The 20057-nt window shown below is 38.1% G+C and overlaps 1 protein-coding gene across 50 annotated transcripts in view; it reads right to left on the bottom strand.

Annotated features, from left to right (window-relative positions):
* HERC1 (HECT and RLD domain containing E3 ubiquitin protein ligase family member 1) overlaps nt 1-20057 on the bottom strand; it is a 225331-nt gene that overhangs the window by 76894 nt on the left and 128380 nt on the right. For 22 of the 50 annotated variants that reach the window (XM_047433252.1, XM_047433258.1, XM_047433257.1 and 19 more), the window contains exons 26-34: nt 13217-13485; nt 10613-10828; nt 9263-9383; nt 8801-9038; nt 8453-8646; nt 6900-7055; nt 5030-5136; nt 4078-4188; nt 848-1024 (exon numbers count right to left, since the gene is read on the bottom strand). In XM_047433252.1, coding sequence (XP_047289208.1) covers nt 848-1024; nt 4078-4188; nt 5030-5136; nt 6900-7055; nt 8453-8646; nt 8801-9038; nt 9263-9383; nt 10613-10828; nt 13217-13485 — 1589 coding nt within the window. Of the gene's footprint in view, nt 1-847; nt 1025-4077; nt 4189-5029; nt 5137-6899; nt 7056-8452; nt 8647-8800; nt 9039-9262; nt 9384-10612; nt 10829-13216; nt 13486-16626; nt 16693-20057 lie in introns of all 50 variants that reach the window. The other 28 variants (XM_047433239.1, XM_047433216.1, XM_047433228.1 and 25 more) reach the window with 3 other exon arrangements.

Below are 20057 nucleotides of genomic sequence, written 5' to 3' on the forward strand. Positions count from 1 at the left end.
CTAATCTACATTTTAAAAGTTAAGACAAAAGCTTAAGAATGAAGTCACATGGCTTTTTAAGATAGACCTGTTGGTTAATGAGATCTGTTGTAACTGGCTAAGTCTAGGACCCCTAAAAGGCATAACTGAAGTCAATATTACTGGCCAATCTTATCCCCCTGCATGGGGTCCTATTGATAGTTTTACTGTATATATACCATGCCCAAGAGATAAAGGAGTAGACTGTGCAAAAGAAGGAGTTAACACAACAGAGACTACTATCCTTAGAAATGCCTGCTTGCAATGTTGGCCCTTGGCTGGCATGGGGGAACTTGACTGGTAAACAGTCCCCTATACTGATATAAATTTTACCTAACTGATACAGGCTGGCTTATTGTATCTAGATTGTACAAACAATATGGTTTATGCTAAATACTAGCTTTTCTTCTGGAAATCTAAAATTTTAGTACATGCTAGGCAGAGGGTACCAATATGAACAGTTCCCTATAAAAATTGTGGGCACTGAATCTCTAATGGGCTTTCCTAGACAAAAACATCACACGCTTTGCTTCATTTTCATTGCTAGAAGAAAATGTGTTCTGTGTGACTCCTTATGGGAGGGCTATAGCATGATTTTAAACATCCATTTTTAACATTTTTGAGATAACTTTAGAATTATAAGGGTTACAAAAATAGCACAGAGTTCCTGTATATCCTTCACTTGGTTTCCATTTATATTATCTTACATAATAATAGAACATTTACATATCACGATTTTTTTTCAGTCTTTCTACACATTTATTATAAGAACCTGGAAAAAAAAGGACTAAAAGACAAAATGCTAAAAACTATTAGATTTTCTACGTACCTTCCACTGATAGCACCCAGAAGTTACTCCTGTAGATGCCAATCCATATCCTTTCCCTCCACTGCCGTGAGTTAAAATCTGTCCATTCTCCACTAGGCAACACTGAGCTTTCTCCGGGTCAAAGGATACTTCTTGGATAGGAAGATTCTCATCTTCTTCTTCCAACTCGCCCTGCTTCTACCAGAAAAGAAGCTGGGTCAGCATTTTGGAATAATCCATGTCTCAGATAAGATATATTCTGAGGCTCCTTGGTTTTATCCTACAAATATTTATTATGTATCTACTATGAATCAGTTACTGTGCAGGGCAACAGGAACACAATGATAAATAGAGCATGGTCCCTTCCCCATAAAGAGCTTAAGGTCATTAATGGACAGAAGACAAATACATACTGCTAGTATTACAGTGGGAGAATAATCAAAATTACATAATAGGTATAGTAGAAACATAAAAGTGTGTCTAACCATGCTTGAGAAGGACAAGGTAATGTTCAAAAGGAGATGACTTCTAAGTTGAGTCCTGAATGATGAGAAGGCAGTAAGCAGCTGGTCAAATGAGAGAGGCATTTTAAGGCAGTGTGTACAGCATGTGCCAAGGCAGACATGCAACAGAGTTCAGTGATTTAAAGACAAGCAGCATGTAATGACTGGAAGATGAAACTGGCAGAAAACAAGTCTAGAAAGAGAAGAAGAAATCAAATCATGGAAAACCTTGTGTGTCATATTGTTTGAATTTTACTCTACTGACATTAGGGAGACCTACACAGAATGATGTATATAGGAGATCTCTGATCACATCTGTGCTTTATAAACATCATTTTACCAAGGATATACAGGATGAAGGCAGAGAGACTGACTAATCAGGATATCCCTGCAAGTTCAGGTAAGAAATAGTGAGGGGGCCAGGTGTGGTGGCTCACACTTGTAATCCCAGCAATTTGAGAGACCGAAGCGGGCGGATCACAAGGTCAGTAGTTTGAGATCAGCCTGGCTAATATGGTGAAACCCCGTCTCTACTAAAAATACAAAAATTAGTCAGGTGTGGTGGCAGGTGCCTGTAATCCCAGCTACTTAGGAAGCTGAGACAGAAGAATCGCTTGAACCGGGGAGGCAGAGGTTGCAGTAAGCAGAAATCGCGCCACTGCACTCCAGCCTGGGTGACAGAGCGAGACTCTGTCTCAAAAAAAAAAAAGAAAGAAATAGTGAGGGCCTGAATTCATTCATTCAATGTGCATTTATTAAGCATCTCTATTCTCTGCCAGGTATCCTATCAGGTCCTCCATATTTAGCAGGGTATTAGGTCTCTGCTCTCATAGAACTTTTATTTTGGAAGAGAAAAAGAAAAAATAAGAAAATACAAGGATTAAGTGGTATGTTGAAATTAAAGCAGGTGACACGACAAAGAGTGTGTGGCAACTACTCTAGATTGATTAGGGAAGGCCTCTCTGAAGATGTGATAACTGAGACCTGAATGACAAGAAATTTCTAAGAAACATATCTAGAGGTAATAGCCAGTTTAAAGCCCTAAGGAATGAGCAGGATTACTGTGTTCAAGAACTACAAGAAGAAGGCAAGTTGCTTAGACTATAGTGAGCAAAAGGGAAAGGTCAAGGAACTCTAGATTTTATCCAAAGAATGACGAGAAACCATTGGAGTATTTTAAGCAGGGGATGAACATGCTCTGATTTACAATTTTAAAAGATCATTCTGGATCCTGTGCAGAGAATGGACTTTAGGGCATAACAATGGAAGCAGATAGAACACTTAGAAGGTTACTGCATAGTTCAGGCCAGAGATGATAATGGCTTGGAATAGGGTGATGACAGAAGAGATGAGGAGGTAGGCAAATTCAAGTCACATTTTAAAGACGAGCCAACAGAATCTAGAGATTGTATGGATAGAGAAATGGGGGTGAGGCATCAAGATGACTCCTAGGTTTTTCACTTGAGTAACTCACTAGGAGGCTGGGAAAGCCTGGGGGAAGAAACAGAACGTGATTAAGGGTGCCATTTTTGACATACTGAGTATGAGATGCCTATTAGACATTTAAGTGATAAGACTAGTAGAAGATGGGAATATAAGTCTAGAATTCAGGGGAAATGCCAGAACTTGAATTTAAAACTTGGGAATCAAGTCTTAAATGAGTCTGAATAAGGTTTCTTTGAGAAGAAATGTGGATTAATGAGTCTGAATAAGAAATGGGCATATGAGTCTGAATAAGGTTTCTTTGAGAAGGAATGGGGATTAATCCAACACTTAGATTGAATAGAAGAAGAAGAAGAACCTATAAAGGAGAATGAGAACAGGCCATTCTATCAAAGTAGGAGAACCAGGACAAGTGTGGAATCACAAAAACCAAGATAGGAATTAAGGTAAATGAAGAGATGGATTCACAAGATATAAATCAATGGAGGCTAGTGACTATATGCATGGGGACATTATGATAATCTAGCATTCCCAGGAATTTGCGTTTGGGAAACTAGGTGAATGGTGGTGCTTTCAATCAGAAATGGGACAAAAAAAGGGGCTGGGGGAAGGGTTTGAGGGGGAGACACCCAGGCTAGCATTTAAGTTTGGAAGGCACTGCAGAGTGATCTTTTAAAACCATAAATCAAAGCATGTTGGTCCCCTGCTTTAGGTATGGATGAGACTGCTGGAAAAGCCAAGGATCAAACTCTGTGGAACACCAACATTTTGAGATGAAGGCAAGGTAAAAGTGGCACCAAAAAAGAGTTGCTTTCAAAGGGAATCAGGATTGGCAGAGAATATACGGAGATCCGGGAGAAAGCGTTTTGAAAATAACAAAAGGCTAGAGTTTCCAGAGGTAAAGTAAGAAGTGGAAAAAAAAGGATACACTATATTTAGCAACAAACACTTATCTTTGTCATTTAATTTCGTACTTTGATACAAGATAAATGGTGGGGTTGAAGAGATAATGAGAAGAAAGTGGCTGAAACATGCAGATTACTCTTCTAAGAAGCTTAGTACTACAGGACAAGAGAGAAGACAGAGAAGACTTCACAGATAAAAATGTGATTTAGGAGAGAGGAAATGAGTTAAGCATGGTTATAAGCTGAGGGGAGGGAATCAGTGGAAAGGGAGACAGAATGCCAAGAGAGGAAATGGAATAAATGATAGAGCAAGGTGCCTCAGAGGAACAGGCATTCAGAGACAAGTGACAGAATATTCACTTATGCTGTTAAGAAATACCTTTTAGGAAAAACCAATTACCTGTAGTTTTATTTCTTGTTCTTTTTCCTTTATCTGAATAGCATGTTTGGCCTGAGCAATGGGTGTCTCCCACATACAATCAGAGAGAAGGGAAAATAAGCGCTCAACAATCTGTTTTATTGAAGAAAAAAGGATAAAATTTGTAAAAAGTAACTTTAAGTATTTTTAGAAAAGCTGTATCATGTTAACTGTAATATTAACTCGCATGCGAAGTTTGATTATACCAGTGTTCAACAGCTACTTTTAGTGGTTATAAGTTAAATATCAGTTTTTAGAAATATTAACCCATTAGAAGCCAGGCACGGTGGCTCATGCCTGTAATCCCAGCACTTTGGGAGGCTGAGGCGGGTGGATTGCCTGAGGTTGGGAGTTTGAGACCAGCCTGGCCAACATGGTGAAACCCCATCTCTACTAAAAATACAAAAATTAGCCAGGCATGGTAGCATGTGCCTATAGTCCCAGCTACTTGGAGGCTAAGGCAGGAGAATCACTTGAACCCAGGAGGCGGAGGCTGCAGTGAGCTGAGATCGCGCCACTGCACTCACTCCAGGCTGGGCGACAGAGCGAGACTCCATCTCAAAAAAAAAAAAAAAAAAAGAAATATTAACCTATTAGAAAGTGGGTCCCATTTTGCCTTACTATTTAGACCTCTGATTAGGACACTCCCACATGTTTCTTCCTATAGCGGTCCAAACCTAGTAAGAAATTCCAGATTTTTCTTTCCTTCTGACCTTGCAGAGTATTCTCTATCCCTCTACTTCTCACACCCCATAACTTAATTTTTTTTGCCCTCTCCTTGGGGGTGAAATAATAAAGAAAGCAGTCCTAAAAGTAAACGTTATGCTATTGAATAAAAGACACATTTACAACTGAAGAGACTGTTAAGTACAGATTTGGGTGAATCATTTTGCAAATATGGAAAACATCTTCTAATAATTTTAAAAATAAAAACCTGGGCCATTTGATCATCTTCTACACCAGATTCACAAGCTGGCAGCACAGCTTCAAGGACATGAAGTGCAAGGAGCCTTGTTCTTAAGTTACCAACCAGAGGGATACCTGGAGGGGAAAAGACCTTTTCTTATTATCAATGTGACTTAAATTCAAAGTTAAAATGAACTTCTGGGAAAAAAATTCCTGAGGCTGCTAAACATTTATGGGTGGAACAAACTTGATTTCAAACTATTATCGCAAGAATTCTGGATCCATCCTGTACCCATGAATGCGTATGAATACATTCATGCTTATGCCTCAGTTTTTATGTATACATAATGGGAAGAGCATTGTAAAAAAGTATCTGTGCCAGATACTATGCTATGCTACACATTTCACACACATACATTCTATTAATCCTCACAAACTGAATTACAGCCCCATTTTACTGTTGAGAAAAATGAGGCTCAGAGAAGTTATGTAACTTGACCAAAGCCACACAAGCTCATAGAGGTAGAGTTTTAAACAGGTCTGTTAATCTCCAAAGCTCATGCTTATTATTCCCTCTCATTGCCTCTCTCCGTCCATGCACTGACTGTCTCACAGGGATTGTTAGGGTTAACCGGGAGTAAACAGACTATACTTTTCTAAAGTAAGCCAACAGCCGGGCATGGTGACCCATGCCTGTAATCCCAGCACTTTGGGAGGCTGAGGCGGGCAGATCACTTAAGGCCAGGAGTTCAAGACCAGCCTGGCCAACATGGTGAAACCCTGCCTTTACTAAAAATACAAAAATTAGCTGGGAGTGGTGGTGCACGCCTGTGATCCCAGCTACTTGGGAGGCTGAGACGGGAGGATCACTTGAGCCTGGAAGTGAGAGGTTGCAGTGAGTTGAGATCACACCACTGCACTCCAGCCTGGGCGACACAGAGAGCCTCTGTCTCAAAATAATAAAAAATAAATAAATAAATGAAGTAATCCAAGGTAGAAAATAGGATACTGATACATAAATATGTAATTAAAAAATACATATAACTGTAATAAGATCAGTTGAAAATAAATGAATATCTGATTTTTCTTTATCCTCTTGAAACTTAATATAAGCCTTACCTTATTAAAGGAAAAAAAAAGGAGCAGTTGTAAGTTATACTAATTAAGAAAAAAAGTATATTGAGCGTGTAAACATATAAAATACCATGTGCCGTAGAGGATTACATTATGTTTTGGCATACTTAGATTAGAGATTATGAAAAAAAGTTCTGGAAATGGATGGCAGTGATTGTTGTATAATACTGTGAATAAGCTTAATGTCACTAAATTGTATATTTAAATGATTAAAATGGCAAATTTCACGTTACGTGCATTTTACCACAATTTTAGCAAAAGAGAACAGGAAAGGACTGACTGTAATCTATGTAAGCAGACATTTTAGGGTAAGGACCAGGGATTAAGCTTATTCTATAGAACTGTGATAAATATCAAACAATCAGAAGTCACAATCAAGGCAACAGAAATCACATTATGATAAGAGAGACTGTACAAATTCAGATCTGCATCCTGATAATCCAAGAAGCAAGGTCGGAATCTGTGCTAAAATATCGTATTAAACAGGATGTTCTCTGCTTACTCTTAGGTTTGTAATCTGAACAAAGAGGATGAAGTTCTCTAGATAAATTCTATGATCTTCTCCAGAGCTACATTATTTATTTTCTGCCAATTTTTACTTCTGAAATTAGAGTTTTCTTTTGATCAAATAGGTACGCAGAAAATAAGAAAGAAAAGCCTTCAAATCAAGGTTACACATGGAGTGTTGCTAAAGTCTGGCATTATCTTAATAAAATGCAAGTAATATCTATAAATACTCTAAGACAAAGGCAAAGGACATGTACCTGAAGAACATTTCTGAGATGCTATATTTAGAAGCACTTCGGTCCACTTTGGGGAAGCCATTTTTGATTGAATTGCTTTTGAAGATACAACTCTGCGAAGAAAAACTAAAAAATCCCCTAGATGGAGTTCGGCTGCATGTTGTTTCCTAAGAGCAGCTACAGTGAAGAGACAAGTTTACGTTACAACCAAGAGCCAACAAGAAATAGTCTTATATCACATAATTTACCTTGAAACTGCAGTAAGCACAAATCTAATGCAAAATCTTAGGCTGTCAGCTACTGAATTCTGAAAACTTAAAGAACAGAATGGGGAAAGGTCAGAAAACAAAGCCTAAACTTGAAACGCCTTTTACATCTCTGTACAATAAAAATGAATATGCTATAACTATGATGACTAAGTATAATAAAGAATTATTGGTGACTAGAGAACAGAACAGTCTAGGAAGAAGTCGAGCTCCTCCTAATTATAATCCAGTTCCCAAATATCAGGACAGGCGCAATGGCTCACATCTGTAATCCCAGCACTTTGGGAGGTCGAGGCGGGCGGATCACTTGAGGTCAGGAGTTCAAGATCAGCCTGGCCAACATAGCGAAACCCCGTCTCTAATAAAAACACAAAAATTAGATGGGTGTGGTGGCACACGCTTGCAACCCCAGCCACTCAGGCTGAGGCAGCACAATCGCTTGAACCTGGGAGGCAGAGGTTGCAGTGAGCCCAGATCATGCCACTGCACTCCAGCCTGGGTGACAGGGTGAGACTCTGTCTCAACAACAACAAAAAAAACCCAGAAAACAAACAGATATCAAAACCCTTGGTGCTGGGGAATTTTCTTTTTCTTTTTTTTTTTTTTGAGACAGGCTCTCGCTCTGTCATCCAGGCTAAAGTGCAGTGGTGTGATCTCAGCTCACTGCAATCTCCACCTCCCGGGTTCAAGTGATTCTTGTGCTTTAGCCTCCCAAGCAGCTGGCACTACAGGCATGCGTCACCATGCCAGGCTAATTTTCATATTTTTAGTAGAGATGGGGTTCCACCATGTTGCCCAGGCTGATCTTGAACTCCTGGGCTCAAGCAATCCACCCACCTTGGCCTCCCAAAGTGTTGGCATTACGGTTGTGAGCCACTGCGCCTGGCCTGGGGGACAATTTAGGTCAGGACTTAGGTTAGAGATGGCTTGTCAGGATCAAGGTTAGAGATGGCTTGTCAGGATCAAATGCTAAGAAAACATCTGAGCTTCCCCCTAGGCAAAATGCAACCTGGGGAAAATCAATCATCTAAAATCTAGGTCTCAGAGCCCAGACAGCCAAGGAGAGGCTGAACCTACAGAATGGGCAGTATGGTCACAACATGAGGGTTAACAGACTCTAAGCAGAGATGTTTGGTCAGAAGCTCATCTAAATCATATATACGTGAAGAGAAAAGAGGTTTGTAAATAAACAAATAAAAATCCCATCATACCTCATAAGGAAGAGGAACTCTACATCCTAATCATATGCACACAATGGGGTTTTAATAAATGCTTGTAAGTAAAGACAGAGAAAGAGGCTTACATTACCTCTGAAATCTTTCTTCTCAGTTTCTCCACTGGAGTCAACTTTTTTTTCTTCTTCTTCACCGTCTTCTTGCTCCCCTTCTCCGAAAGAGGCCATATGTAGTACACCAGTTTGGGACAATAAATTCTTCAACTGACTACAGAGTAGATCCAACAAGGATTGAACTACTTTGGGACTCAGTTTATCAGCATAGGTCCTATGTGAAATAAAAGAAAAAAATAAGTGGCAAACACACAGAAGGGCAAGCATAGTGCTTAAATACATAAAGCAGATTAGAGGGAAAGGGGGAATTCTAAAATGGAGGAAGACCAGACTTCATACAGTTCTACAAAGACATCTACCATACTTACCCAGTAGTGATGGCTAGAATCTGGAGCAACCTTGTACTGGCCACTTTCAAAGCTGTGCTAAGCTGGGAAACACCCGTCTTTGGCAACAACTGCAGGGGCTGTCCTAGCATGGTGTCTGTACCACACAACTGTGACAATACGTTTAGCAGACCAGTGGAAATTGCCAAAGAAACATCTACTGGTTGATAATGAACACTTAGGGCAAAAACTGTAACCAGAAGCAGACGTTGCTGGGCTTCTAAAAGACAAAGAGACAGTTAAGAATCTTCCTTTCAGTAAACAAAGCATTTATTAAAATGAATAATTTTCTAAAATATTAATAACATGAAACACTAAATTATTTATTCTTTACCTATAAGTTTATCTACTAATGTTAAACACAAAATATAGAACATAACTAGTACCATAACCTCGGGCTAAAATGTAACCTGCACTGTACATTTGCAGGAACCGTTTACTTACCAATGTGATGCTTGTTTGCTTGCAGGGCTCTTTCCAGGGTAGCAGACAACTGTTGATAAATTTTATGCACAGCTACCTGGATTTCAATCTGAATATTTCTCTTAGCTGCTCTGATCCCATCCTGAATTACACATAAAGAATTACTTTTTCTATTAGCAACAATAATACCTGCTTGCAAAAAGAAGTAATAACATTTTATTTCTAGTCTATGCTAGAGCCTTACGATGGTTTTTAATTATTTACTATATTTCATATATAAAGTATATAATAATTTTTTTTTGAGGCAGGGTCTTGCTGTATCACCCATGCTGGGGTGCAGTGGTGCAATCCTGGCTCACTGCAACCTCTGCCTCCCAGGCTCAAGTGAGCCTCCCATCTCAGCCTCCCAAGTAGCTGGGACTACAGGCACATACCACCACACTTGGCTAATTTTTTGTATTTTCTGTAGAGACAGGGTTTCGCCATATTGTCCAGGCGGGTTTTAAACTCCTGAGCTCAAGCAATCCAACAGCCTTGGCCTCCCAAAGTGCTGGGACTACAGATGGGTGCCACCATGCCCAGCCTCCAAATTTAATTTTAAATGCTTGATAATTGTTGAGTCTGTATAATCTTTTTTTTTTTTTTTTTTTTGAGATGGAGTCTTGCTCTGTTGCCCAGGCTGGAGTGTAGTGGGGTGATCTTCGCTCACTGCAACCTCCACCTCCCGGGTTCAAGCGATTCTCCCTGCCTCAGCCTCCTGAGTACCTGGGATTACAGGCGCCCACCACCACGCCCAGCTAATTTTTGGTATTTTTAGTAGAGACGGGGTTTCGCCATGTTGGCCAGGCTGGTCTTGAACTCCTGACCTCAGGTGATCCGACCACCTCAGCCTCCCAAAGTGCTGGGATTATAGGTGTGAGCCACCACGCCCGGCCGAGTCTGTATAATCTATTTCCTCACAAAGCAGTTTTTCCTGCCTAAATATGAAAGACATAAAGATAACATTTTTTTCTAAGTTATCAAAGGAATCACACAAACTAGGTAAACGATCAAATCTAAAACGTAAGCTCTTGAAACCCATCCTCCCAAACTCCAATCCCTATCCTTACTTGGATCTATTCCCATCCAAACTGGATAATAAAACTGGATTAATAAAACCGAGCCAGCAAATAATCTACAATAGTACAATAATACCACAGCTCACCTAATCTCTACTGCATTATTTAGGAAATGGAACCAAGGAGCTATCTTAAAAAATTTAAAGTCTTTGTATTTTTAAACTGAATCATAAACACCAAAAAGTTTCACATTATTAAAGTGGCTTTGTAAAATGACAGTTAAAATCTGTATATACTGCAAGGTGTCACCTACCTGATAGTGATGCAATCGGCCACTCTCTCCCTTGCCTCCTGTGTGTCCAACAGTGCCTAAACCAAAACACCCTGCTAGGAACTGCAGCCTCACAGACGTGAGTAGTGTGGAGGACTGGAAGCCTGAACTCAATCTGCTTCCTGCCAGTGAGATGCTACCTTTTTCTTCCATCCCAGACAATAGAACGAGGATCTGATGAAGTGCCTCTAAACGAAGCTTGAGGAAAAAAACATATTTTAGAGTTCTTCACTTAACTCAGACATGATGAAACTCTGTATGCCAAAAACAGTATTTTTAACACTTAGAAAATTCTGACATTTCATATGAATCTATTCTAAGATAAACATTTATTTTATTATTATTACTTTTTTTGAAGATTTTCTAAAAACTCTATAAGCACACATCAGAATAAAAAAGGTTAGAGTACAATAGGAAAAGTAGTAGCTTTGGATGTAGGAGACATGGTTTCAAGGACAGACTCTTTTATCTTACTGTGTGGCCTTGGGAAAGTCACTTAACTTACTGAATTTGTTTCCTCGTATATAAAATAAGACTAATAATACCTTATCTAATCTATTCACACAGCTATTGTGAAGCTCACAAGGAGATATATGTGAAGGTTTCAAAACTATAAGGTAGTACTGCTACTGCTTTCTTTATTAATAAGTTTATATAGAATGAATACTCTTTAGCCCAGGAATGAGAAATACTTCTGAACTATTTCTCTGTGGTTTTCTTGAACTTCTGCCCCTATCTTCCCTAGGAAGACACTCCCCATCACTGTAGTTGATCAGCTTATCCTTCTTCTTTAAAAAAAAAAAAAAAAAATTATTTTGAAATAATTTTAGATATACAGAAAAGTTGTAAAGATGGTACAGAGAGTTCTTGTATACTCTTCCTTGAGCTTCCCCTAATCTTAACATCTTACATAACCATGGTACATTTATGAAAACTAAGACATTAACATTGGTACAATACTATCAACTAAACCTAAAGTAAAATAGTATTAATTAAAAGACTATTTGGATTTTAGTTTTCCATAATGTTCATTTCCTTTTCCAGGATTTAATCCTAGATACCACATTGCATTTAGTTGCCATGACTTTTTAGTTTCTCCTACCCTGTGACAGATTCTGTCTTTCCTTCTTTTTCATGACGACACTTCGGAAGAGCTGTTCATATATTTTGTAGATGTCCCTAAATTTTGGGTTGTCTGATTTTTTTCTCATGACTACAGTGGAATTATGGATTTGGGGGAAGAATACCACATAAAGTGTTCTCATTACACTATATCGACATGACTTAATACAGGTGATGTTAATCTTGATTTTTTTTTTTTTTTTTTTTTGAGATGGAGTTTCACTCTTGTTGCCCAGGCTGGAGTGCAATGGCGCGATCTCGGCTCACTGCAACCTCTGCCTCCTGGGTTCAAGTGATTCTCCCGCCTCAGCCTCCCAAGTAGCTGGGATTACAGGCATCCACCACCACGCCCAGTTAATTTTTGTATTTTTAGTAGAGATGGGGTTTCACCACGCTGGTGAGGCTGGTTTCAAACTCCTGATCTCAGGTGATCCACCCACCTTGGCCTCCCAAAGTGCTGGGATTACAGGAGTGAGCCACCGCGCCCGGCCAATCTTAATCATTTAGTTAAGGCAATACCTGCCAGGTTTCTGCAATGTGAAGTTACAATTTTATCTCCTTCCTATAGCCTATTTGTTAGAAGCAAGCCACTAAGTCCAGCTCACTCTCAAGGAGAGAAGAATTAATCTCCACTTCCTGCAGGGAGAACTATGGAAGAATTGTGGACATGTTAAAACCACAATAATTAATAAATATTTGGGGGAAGATACTTTAAGGCTATGCAAACATCTTATGTCTCTTTCAAGTTTTGCTCACTCATTTTAGCATTCAACAGTGGGTCTTGATTGCAGCAATTATTTCTGTGAGGTTCTAACCTGAAGCAGGTGTCTAATTTAAACTGAGACAAATGGGTCAAAAATGAAGGCTCAGGGCCAGGAGTGGTGGTTCACACCTGTAATCTCAGCACTTTGGGAGGCCGAGGCAAGTGGATCACCTGAGGTCAGAAGCTCGAGACCAGCCTGGCCAACATGGTGAAACTTTGTCTCTCCTAATAATACAAAAAAATTAGCCAAGCATGGTGGCGCATGCCTATAATCTCTGCTACTCTGGAGGCTGAGGCAGGAGAATCACTTGAACCCAGGAGGCAGAGGTTCCAGTGAGTCAAGATCTCACCATTGCACTACAGCCTGGGCAACGAGAGCGAAACTCCGTCTCCAAAAAAAAAAAAAAAAAAGGCTCTGATGACCTATTGTCATCAACTAGTCTCACCCTAGTTTGTAGGAGACATGTGAAGACTTCTGAGTATATTGTTCTGAGAGATGACAATTTTAAAATGCACTTTTGTCTAGTTCAAACAAAATAATGTGCTGTTCTAGTGAAGAATGTTATGTTTAAAAGCTCAGGTACAGGAAAGGGGAAGGCAAGGAATAGAAGAAAAGGAAAGGTTTTCCCTAGAACTATACATTCAATGGTTCAGTTTTAAGTTTCCAGAGCTCTCATAAGGAGTAAATATCAAAGACTTACTTCTGCCCTTAACTGCTGCTGTTCCATTGCAATGATGGAGGCCTGGGGACTTGTAGACATACTTTCCTCTGGCTCTTTAAAACCTGGGGCATTCCCCACATCTCCACTCACAAAGCTTACAACATTTTCAATCAAAGTGTGAACTCCCAAAGACTTGGTAAGATCAAAATCTGACTCAAAGGAATAGGAGGAGTTGCATAACCAGTCTCTGCTATGTTTCAGGCGAGCCCAAGAGTCACTCAGGGATTCCAATTGACTGTGCATAGGACCTATATACAAACAGAATAAACATATATCAATGGCAATCAAGTAGAGCATACATTCTGAAACTAGATAAGGCTGAGTGCTGCTACCATAACCAACTGGTGAAAAATGGATACTCATGTTTGAATACGCGCATGCATTAAGTGAATCTGAGCAAAATGCTTTGGTAAAAACAACAAACAAACAAAAATTAGAGCAATGTAAGAAAATAAAGGGAAAGCCCTGTTTGATGTACCAGTGTCTCTGTAAGCGCTTTAGCAACACGCTGCCACAAGAAAAAGAAAGGCAGAAGCTGTTCTCAAAATGCTTAGCTTAAAATGCTCTGCAGTATTAAACCAGATCATCATTTATGAACAAAAAGGAACTAGGCACTTAAGACACTGCTAGTAAGACCTACTCAAAACAGAAAGATTTCATCTAATTTAACATTATCATTACAAAGGGCAAGTTAAGACTGAACAAAGTGTCTACATATCTGCAATGAAACATTACCAAAAAATGAATATAGAAGGGCAAGTAAACTTACACAAAAAGCAGACACAAACATCACCCTTTGGGTTTCATTAATATAAGGAACATTCTCACTGACTGTGTCATGTGCATATTTACTGCAGGTTGTGAAACTCCTATATAGAGGAAGCAAAGTTTCACAGACAAGAATATGAGATTTACTGTAAAATGATACCTATATAAAATTATCAAGTGGCATCAAAATAGTTGCTAAATATAATACCATTAGATTTGCCAGTGGGTATTTTTTAAGCTAAAATCTTTACATTAGACAGCAAAATGTTAACATGTTTGAACATAACAGCAACTGTCCAAGTCATTTGTCAATATTAGCTTTAAATAAATATATAAATGTCCAATTCTTACAAATCTTTAATTTAACTGGTCTCAGATACATAAATTTGATTAACTACAATCCTTTCGTCATGACATACTCTCATCATTGGTCCATGCATGGCCCAATTTTGAAATCACATATTTATAATAAATATCTGTGAACACAAGAACTAGAAAACTAACAGTAACTTCTATCTATTTGCTCCTCCTCCAGCCCATCTCTTGCTACCTAAAGTTTTATTATCCTGAGGCCTGGGTTTATTATTTCCTTGTTTTTATTGTTTTAATGTATTCCTAAGATGAATAATGGTTTTAGTTGTCGTTGACTTTTAAAAAAGAGTATCATTTTATATCACCTTTTTGGACACACTCTTTCATTCAATATAATATTGCTAATATTCATCCACATTACTAAGTGTAACCATGGTTCATTTATTTGATTGCTGTATAACATCCTATTATGTGAATATACTACATTTCTCAATTAGGGAAGTATCTTAAGGTACCCAATTAAATATGCATAAAAATTATATCAGTTATGTAACTAGATAGAAAAGTTTGGGAAGATAACTACTTAAACACTAATGCCCACAGAGAAAACAAACTAACAACAATATTCAATGTAGAATCTTATTTTTGAATTACTATACTGGTGTCAATTAAACCCTAGGATTTCAAAATTCGTAACACGGAGCTAATATTACAAAGTAACTATGAAATAATTTATATGTATCCTAGTAAAATAATGTAGAATGGCAAAGAATATATGGTTTATCTGCCTTCTGTGTTTTAGAAAGAATTATTAAGATTTAAAAAGGCTTAATTTTCACCACTGCACTCCAGCCTGGGTGACAGGGCGAGACCCTGCCTCAAAAAAAAAAAAAAAAAAAAAAGCTTAATTTTCATTCTTGCTGAACATGAAAAATAACAACCTACCTAAAAATTTCCCCAAATTGTAGACCTGAATATTCTTTCATGTGACACAGAAAAAACTGAAAATTCAAAGAATAATATCATAGATGCATAATGTATTAAGTTAAAAATATTTAAAGAATAAAGTAGAGGCTAATGTAAAAAATATATACATTCTTTTTTCATTTCCTTAAAGCACCTCAAATTCAGAATCTGTATTTAGCCTTAACTTACAAATGATAGATTCTGGCTCCTCACATTGAACTTGTTTTTTGGGGGGGTGTTTTTTTTTAAATATTAAAATTTTAGAATAAAAGGTTCTTCTAGTTACTAATACTTATAAATTACTTTTCAAAATGAATATAAAATGCGCAAGGAACTGATATTAGAACTGCAGAAGAAAAAGAGACCTTAAAGATTATTTAGTCCAATTTTCACAAATGAGGAAACAGAGGCACAAAAAAATTGGTTTGTCACATAATGACATTAATTCCTTAATTTTATGGGAGGTAGTCTTACATATTCATTATTAACCAACTCACAAATCACTGATGGAAATTTCAATTGCCTGCCTATATAAAGGTTCAATTATGAATCTACCAATACTGAACTGTCTTCATATAAACCAAAATATTCTATGGAATGGCTGACGAAGCCCAAAATTAAATCTTCTGCAATTTAAAGCAGGGGTTGGCAAACTTTTTCTGTAAAGGGCCAGACAGTAAATATTTTAGGCTTTGCAGACCATAAGGTCTCTGTGACAACTACACAACTCTGCTGTTGTAGTATGAAAGCAACCACTTAAATAAATGAGTGTGGCTGTGTTCCAATAAAACCTGATAAAAATAGATGCCAGGTCAGTCTTGGCCTCCTAGCTGTAGTCTGCTGAGCCCTAACGGATGAAATTAACCCAAATGTAACTTTGTATAAATAAAATATTAAGAACAGGAAACACACTATGTGGAAGCATCAGGATAAATAATTTCCATCAAAATATTTAGTTTGACATCAAAAAGACTTAAAACACAAAAATTTATAATATGGAAATGGGAGAGGAAAGAACTTTAATTTTTTTTTTAAGTATAACAATCTGATAACTTTGGTTTGCTCTGTACTATCTGAATACAGGAAATATTATATCTGAAAAGGGCATTAAAAGCTTCTACATAACAATTGAGACTAAGCCCAATTCTTAATACTAATTCAGAATCACCTACTATATAAAGAAAATACAAAATCCAACAAAAAATTTTTGAGATTGTTTACTTGTCCTTACAAGTTTGGTTTTTAAATGGAATTTTCAAAATGAACATGGCAGAGCTGCAATACATACTTTATAAACCATAAAATATGTAGGCAAGCTAAAAGGGGAAAAAAATTAAACATGCCATCATGTACTTGCTTGAAGCTCTTCTTTTTTCTGGGGCTCAACTGGCCAAAAAGGAGTAAATACACTACCACACGAGAATCAGAAAACAAAAGGAGAAATTTGATACAGGAGAGAAACATTTACATTCGCTTTTCTTTATATCATCTAATTTGAAATGCACAGACAAAATAGCATTTCACCCATACATGTTATACCATGAAACACACATGTTGATAAATGTTTCCAGTATTATTTTAGCAATAAAACCCTATCAAAATATTTAAAGATTAGGGGCGATAATCAAACCACACAGTATTTTAACTAATAAGATTTCTGATGCTGCTTAAGTTGCTGTTTTGATATCCCACAACTTTTCACTGTATCATCTTCAGCTTAAATATGAAAACTAAAATCAAGTATCTGCAAAAACGTATTGTCTTTCTGTAAACAATCGTACAACCATAGCAAATCTTTTAAGTTTTATCAAAGTACCAAATTACTAACATATTTTTACAGGTTTTGTCAAGAATTTTATCAGGCTGTTATGAAAATTAAATGAGTTACTATAATATTTGTGAAGGGCTTAGAACAATGCTCATATAGTAAGTAGTTTATAAATGTTTACTAAATACAAATTTCATATTGCCTCTGAGGTGCTAAGCAGAAGAAATGTTTCATCCACCTCTTTTAGAAGTAAATTTAGCTGGCCGGGCATGGTGGCTCACGCCTGTAATCCCAGTACTTTGGGAGACCAAGGTGGGGGGATCACGAGGTCAGGAGTTCAAGACCAGCCTGGCCAACATGGTGAAACTCCGTCTCTACTAAAAATACAAAAATTAGCTGGGCTTAGCAGCACATGCCTATAATCCCAGCTACTCAGGAGGCTGAGGCAGGAGAATTGCTTGAACAGGGACCCGTGAGGAGGAGGTTGCAGTAAGCCGTGATCACGCCACTGCACTCCAGCCTGGGCTACAGAGCGAGACTCTGTCTCAAAAAAAAAAAAAAAAAAAGAGTAAATTTAGCTTTGATGCCTCTGAAAAGCTGAGCAAGGTGGCTAAATGTATCTGCCCACATTTCTTTGCCCCTTCCTACATATTCACTTTCTCAGACCAAGGGCTTAGACCAATTGTGAAACATTAACTGAAGTGAGGGGAGAAAAAGGCGCAATTGTGGTTCAACAGCGTGAATCTTAGTATCCCCACTGTCAAATACTGAGATTACAGGCAATGGGCCCTCTCAAGGAGGAGCCTTTGCAGGCATGGAAAGAGCAGCTGAAAATGTGTATACACCCATTGTCATTTATACATCCATTAAACTTCAGTAAACAGGATATAATTAAACAGCATTATCTCTCTCCTATTCCTCTCATCAGGCTTTTAGTAATTCAAGACCACTGAGACTAGTAAATGCAAATGCTGTATGAGGGAAAACATTTTACATTTCCTCCTCAAAATATTGGAAGGGGTAAACAAGCACATAGAATTCTTGGCCAGGCACGGTGGCTCATTTCTGTAATTCCAGCACTTTGGGAGGCCAAGGTGGGTGGACTGCTTGAGCCCAGTTCAAGACCAGACTGAGCAACATGGCGAAACCCCGTTTCTACAAAATAAAAAAATATATAAAATAAATAAATAAAATTAGCCAGGCATAGTGGCATGTGCCTGCAGTCCCTCCCAGCTACTTGAGAGGCTCAGATGGGAGGGTCACTTGAGCCTGGGGAGGTTGAGCCTCAGTGGTGCAGTGAGCTGTGATCGCACCACTGTACTCCAGCCTGGGTGACAGAGCAAGACACTGTCTCAAAAAAAAAAAAGAAAGAAAAAAAAAGAGAATTCTCACTTGGCTGGACATTTGTTTGTCCTTCATGGCTCAAGTCAGAATCAGAATACTCAACAGTTTGAATGGCTCCCAAACAGTTCTCAGACTTGGCAGGTTCAACTGCCCAACTGAAGATTTTATGGCTTAAGGCATCTGGTCTATACTGACAAAAAAGGAAAAAAAATACAGTCATTTATTTTACTATCATTTAAAAGCAAAACAAAAAAACCCTACTGTGTCAAAGGGCAGTCACTAAATATACAATATTTTTGTAAAATCTCTTTGAAAATATAATCTCCTAAATGTGTTATATCCATGCCTAAGTAATTCACATTCAAATTACAGTTTTTTCTTAGTTGGAAAGATGAAGATTCTACTTTCTTTTATTCCAAAGATATTATTTTGTACATGCTGACCTGGTTAACACAGACTGAATCTCAAATTATATTTCCATATGCATGATAGAGATTTGAGAGAAAACAATTTTAACCAATGAACTATTACTTATAAACTTAACTAATATAGTATAAACTATAAATTGGATTTCTTATGCTACTCAGTAAGTCTGGAGCCATTTTCTCTCTAGCGCCAAATGATATACATTTATTAATATAACATACAACTTTTAGCAATTATATTCACCTGAGCTAAACAAAATTAGGAAAGTAAATCTGTTCCAAAAATTTAATTCCTAAGTCAAAATGAACTACCAATTTTCAAAGAATTACCAAATAATGAAATGCATGTTGCACATTATACTAAACATCACTTAATTTTTTTGATAATACAAATACTCTGTAATTTTTTTTTTTTTTTTTTTTTTGAGATGGAGTCTCGCTCTGTCGCCCAGGCTGGAGTGCAGTGGTGCGATCTCGGCTCACTGCAAGCTCCGCTTCCTGGGTTCACACCATTCTCCTGCCTCAGCCTCCCGAATAGCCAGGACTACAGGCGCCCACCACCACGCCCGGCTAATTTTTTGTATTTTTAGTAGAGACAGGGTTTCACCATGTTAGCCAGGATGGTGTCGATCTCCTGACCTCGTGATCCGCCCACCTCAGCCTCCCAAAGTGCTGGGATTACAGGCATGAGCCACGACACCCCACCCTCTGTAATTTTTTTTTAAGAAACTCAGCAGCTTTGGTATGTTATGGTCTCAAAAGACTTCTCGATAAAGAAAGCTCTGGTCTTTATTATTCCTAATATTTCAGAGAAATCATTCTCTGTATTCTTTTTTTTTGAGACAGGGTCTCACTGTTGTCACACAGGCTGGAGTGCAGTGGCATGATCACAGTACCCTGCAACTTCGAATTCCTGGGCTCCTGTGATTTTCTCACCTCAGCCTCCTGAGTAGCTAGAAATACAGGTGCATGCATCCACGCCTAGCTTTTTTTTTTCTTTTTGGCAGAGACAGGGGTCTCACTATGTTGCCCAGACTAGCCTTCCGAAGTGCTGGGATTACAGGTGTGAGCCACCACACCTGGCCCATTCTTTCTATTCTAATTGTAATTAAATGATGAAATATTGCCAAATTTTAAGTAACAACATTTATTCTTTTGAGCTATATACATGAAAATGAAAAAATTATGTGTGCATTGCTTTCCCTCATTTCTGTTTTTTTTCTATGGATGAGAAACC

The sequence above is a fragment of the Homo sapiens genome, chromosome 15 (assembly GCF_000001405.40).
Source record: "Homo sapiens chromosome 15, GRCh38.p14 Primary Assembly".
NCBI classification, from domain to species: Eukaryota; Metazoa; Chordata; class Mammalia; order Primates; family Hominidae; genus Homo; species Homo sapiens.